The sequence below is a fragment of the Homo sapiens genome, chromosome 2 (genome assembly GCF_000001405.40).
Source record: "Homo sapiens chromosome 2, GRCh38.p14 Primary Assembly".
Lineage (NCBI taxonomy): Eukaryota > Metazoa > Chordata > Mammalia > Primates > Hominidae > Homo > Homo sapiens.
The window spans coordinates 83,101,645-83,106,488 of NC_000002.12; the positions used below are offsets into that span (position 1 = coordinate 83,101,645).

General features: G+C 37.8%; 1 annotated feature.

Moving 5' to 3' along the window:
* Positions 1,934 to 3,133: an enhancer, noted in NCBI's record as "P300/CBP strongly-dependent group 1 enhancer chr2:83330702-83331901 (GRCh37/hg19 assembly coordinates)". NCBI's record gives its function as "activates an origin of replication core promoter dependent on BRD2, BRD4, P300/CBP, MED14 and CDK7 cofactors, with strong dependence on P300/CBP, by STARR-seq in HCT116 cells {active_cell/tissue: HCT116}" and the evidence as "EXISTENCE:reporter gene assay evidence [ECO:0000049][PMID:35650434]".

A 4,844-nucleotide genomic window follows, 5' to 3' on the forward strand; every position in this document is an offset into this window, starting at 1 on the left:
CCCTTTGGGTCCCCTCCCTTTGTATGGGGGCTCTGTTTTCACTCTATTTCACTCTATTAAATCTTGCAACTGCACCTTCTGGTCCATGTTTGTTACGGCTGGAACTGAGCTTTCGGTCACTGTCCACCACTGCTGTTTGCCACCATCGCAGACCTGCTGCTGACTCCCATCCCTCCGGATCCAGCAGGGTGTCTGCTGTGCTCTTGATCCAGTGAGGCGCCCGTTGCCACTCCTGATGGGGCTAAAGGCTTGCCATTGTTTCTGCATGGCTAAATGCCTGGGTTCGTCCTAATCGAGCTGAACCCTAGTCACTGGGTTCCAGGGTTCTCTTCTGTGACCCACGACTTCTAATAGAGCTATAACACTCACTGCATGGCCCAAGATTCCATTCGTTGGAATCCGTGAGGCCAAGAACCCCAGGTCAGAGAACAGGAGGCTTGCCACCATCTTGGAAGTGACCTGCTGCCATTTTGGAAGTAGCCAACCACCATCTTGGGAGCTCTGGGAGCAAGGACCCCCGGTTACAGAAATATTATCTTTCATTTTATAATTTAAAATGTATTTTTACATATATATTTCATTTAATCTTCACATTAAAGATTAAAGCAAAAATAACCCCACTGAGGTGCAATTAATTAATTTACTTATTCATTTGTTTCTTCTCTTTCTTTTTTAAATATATAGCATTCATTTTTTCCATAAAACTGCTAATTTCTTATGTACACATTAGCAAAATAAATTAAATATGAATTAAGGTTATATATATATATATATATATATATATATATATTTTTTTTTTTTTTTTTTTTTTTTTTCTGAAATGGAGTTTCACTCTTGTTGCCCTGGCTGGAGTGCAATGGTGTGATCTCAGCTCACTACAACCTCTGCCTCCCGGGTTCAAGTGATTCTCCTGCCTCAGCCTCCTGACTGGCTGGGATTACAGGCATGTGCCACCACGCGCAGCTATTTTTTGTATTTTTAGTAGAGATGGGGTTTCTTCATGTTGGCCAAGATGGTCTTGAACTCCTGACCTCAGGTGAACCACCCTCCTTGGCCTCCCAAAGTGCTGGGATTACAGGTGTGAGCCACCACACCCAGCCCATATTTTTACTTATAGATTTATTTAATTTAAAAAATTGTCCTGCTCACACCCTGGAGATGTTGAAACTGTGTTGAGTGCTTATTTTTACGTGAAAAACAATATTGCCAATATTTTCCATGTTAACTTTATGTGTTGAGGTGGCTTACACAAAAGGGGAAGGATGTTAAATACACATAAATTTTGTCAGGAGTGTAACATCAAACTTCGAATTCTACTCTCTGCTCTCAGGTGGCAAATAAAATAAGATGCAGTAGAAAGAGCACGAGCCAACTCAACACATGGATTGGACTTTGCTGCTTACCAACTATGAGAAAATGAACAACACCTTTCACCTCTAAAGTATTATTTCTTTTTCTATAAAATTTAGTTAGGAATTGCTGCATTTTCCTCAATCTTGAATAGTTTCCAATCTCACATAGCATGGAGTGTTTTCCTTTTCTTTTCTTTCTTTTCTTTTTTTTTTTTTGAGACAGAGTCCCACTCTATTGCCCAGGCTGGGCTGGAATGCAGTGGCATGATCTCGGCTCACTGCAGCCTCAGCCTCCCAGATTCAAGTCATTCTTGTGCCTCAGCCTCCCAAGTAGCTGGGATTACAGGTGTGCACCACCATACCCAGCTAATTTTTTGTATTTTTAGTAGAGATGCGGTTTCACCATGTTGGCCAGGCTGGTCTCGAACTCCTGACCTCAAGTGATCTGCCCATCATGGCCTCCCAAAGTGCTGGGATTACAGATATGAGCCACTGTGCCTGGCCTTTTTTTTTTTCTTCTTTTTATCAAGGTAGACACAAGTCTCTTAGATTGGCCCTGTGCTTTTCTTGCTCACCAAGTCACTAGCCCTCACTTAGTGCTTACAGAATGAAAGGGTGAATGATATTATGCAAAATGGTACTGTCTTTATTACAATGCAAAATAGCAAATGTTTCTATTAGCAAGCAGTTTACCCACATGACATAAATGTTTCTAACTGTAGGAAACACATGGCTTGGGGATCATGAATGTTTAATGGGTTTGAGTTTTAAAGGCACTTGGTTTAAAAATAACTCTTGGAACTGTTGAGTAATGTTGATTATGCATTGTTTTGCCATGCGTCAAAAAGATAATATGTCTCTATGAATTCCATTTCTGTTTCTCATTATCTGCACCCTACATCATTAACTTTTAAGGAATTTGGCTTTTATTTGCTGTCCTAATGTTGCAAAGTTTCATTTTTCTTCTTCAAATGACTAGCACTTTTGAAGAAAGAGTGTTTTCTTTTGATATGCAGTTTGTATTGACACCTTTGTTTTGTTCTCCCAAGTTTGTTATAGGTGAAATTTGAAGAATTTAAAGTCTTCAGTACAAAGTCTCTTCAAGAATTTGTCCTCATACCTTCACCACAAGAGCAAGAGCCCCCTCCTCCTCAGGAAAGGCAGGAAGAAAATACTCTGATATAAATTTCCTGCTGCCTCAAGGAAAGAGCAGAACAATGTGTTATAAATGTAATAAACTGAAGGAATTATTTTCAGATATCACATTGTTATGCAATATGATACAACATAGGGGGTTACATTTAGGGGCAGATTTTCTTTCTTTGATGTTTACCCTATCCCACAGAGTGACCTTTTTAGAGTAGCCACACACAAGACTGTACCAGCATAGAACTGATGCGAACAGGGAGCAGCTTTGTTCAAAGTGAAGGTCACTATGGCATGGACTTCCCCTACTGAAAAAAACAAAGGTAAATGCATTGATAATATTTGGGTCTTTTTTTTAAAAAAAAGAAGGGGATGTGTGCAAAAATATTGCTTAATTTCCAAGGAACTGCAGCTTGATTTCACTTATGCAGAAGGTAATGACCATATCTGTAGGGTGGCCTCTCACAACTCAAACTCAGTAGTTGACTCTGGCTTTCTGTACATCAAGGAGCTCTGCGGCTGAGAGCTATAGAAACCAGAGAATTTTAATCTATCATTTCATCTTGAGATATACTGGGAAGTACTTTTCTATCAATGACAGCCTTATTGGCTACAGAGATATTTAACCGTGAATACTTAAGGGTGTGCTAGGATTTTCTTAACCTACCACTTAGCTGTCCACAGAAGGTCATCAATCAACATTCAAAGTTATCTTATTTTTCTAACCTAGATATATTTACATTGTGGTCTACAGAGTCTAAATAGTTCCACATAGAACCATCAGCAGATATCAAGGGAAGTGAGGAACAGAGTTACAGAACTGACGCACAACAGCTATATCATTATCTGTTCCATATATTAAAATGCCCTTAAAATTACAACTCAAGAAAAGATTAACAGTAAAAACACTGAGCCACAATCACTCTGTCTTCCCCTCTGCTTCCCTAAAAGGCCTCTGCGCTGTAAGTCTGTGTTCTCTCTTTTCTCGGAATACTGTTGTGCCTTTTTATGTCCTTGCTTAGTTTAACGCAAGATCTTAGTTTAAAGGGTCTCAGATTTGGAGAAAAAATCTCTGTCTTGGAGGTGCTCTCACTCAACCTTCTAATCAGAGACCTCAACCCTTCTTTACAACCTAGTCATTTCTTTCTCCAGCTCAGACACATACATATCCTATATTCAATAGTGGAACAGGCCTCCTCCATTCTATACCACTGGGTATTATAGATATTCAACTTATTTGCTTTCTGAACCAGATAAATCACCACAATTAAGACTCTCATTTGCTACAAATGGAAGGTGCTAGCAATTGAATCATGTTCATAATTAATAAAAGAAAAAATATTTTTTATATCTGTAGGTTAAAAATAAGCATCATTCTCTCTCTTCAGAAACAATCCATGGTATTAGTGTCAAAGTATATTTGAGAGATTTAAACATTTGGATTTTAATGACAGAGTGACAACCTCAGAAAGGTTGCACTATAAGTAATCATTCCACTGGCAGCTGAGAATGCTCTCCACCAACACTGACTTTCTCCTGAATAGTCTTCCCGTGATCTCTAATGTGCTGACCAATCTCCTCTTTTACACTGTTTTTCATTCCTTTAAAGAGAGATGTTTAAATGCCAGGTGTATAGAACATGGAGTGTCATAACAGGTGACATCACTTCAACACTTTTTACTGTCACCCATTTTTTTTCCAAATATTTATTTATGTTGGTAGCATCCACTTTAAGTCCCAGAAAAACTGAGAGAAATTTGTGATAATATGCCATGGCTAATGGGACCTATTCATCTCGTGTTAAAAACAGTCGATCAATATATTAAGTAAACCCTTATATTTATGGATTGTGTGGTAGTAAAGTGATTAGGATCTAACTTAGACAGTAAGGGATCCAACTGATGATCCACACTACTTGGAAACTGTTGACCTTGTTTAAGATACATAGCCTCTCATAGCCTCAAATTCCTTATCCTATAAAGGGAAATAATGATACCCACTTCATAAAGCCCTTGAAAGTTTTAATTGAAATAGTACAAATTCTATAATTTTTTGCTAGAAAATGGTCATGGCTATTTTTCTTTCGTACATTTGATCTTATAACCTTAATACATAAATTAGCTTTTGGTTCATTTAATCTAACAGCATTTTTCAGATAAGAAACTTAAAATAACTGAGAACTAGTATGTTTTTCCTAATATATCCAATCATTTAATCAAAGATGCAAAACCAGAGAAGAGGTCTTCCTACATTCATGGTCTCCTAATTGTAAAACAAGATGTAAGTAAAAACAACACAAATTATGTAAGTTAGTATAATAAACAAATGATATATTAAAATGAGAAA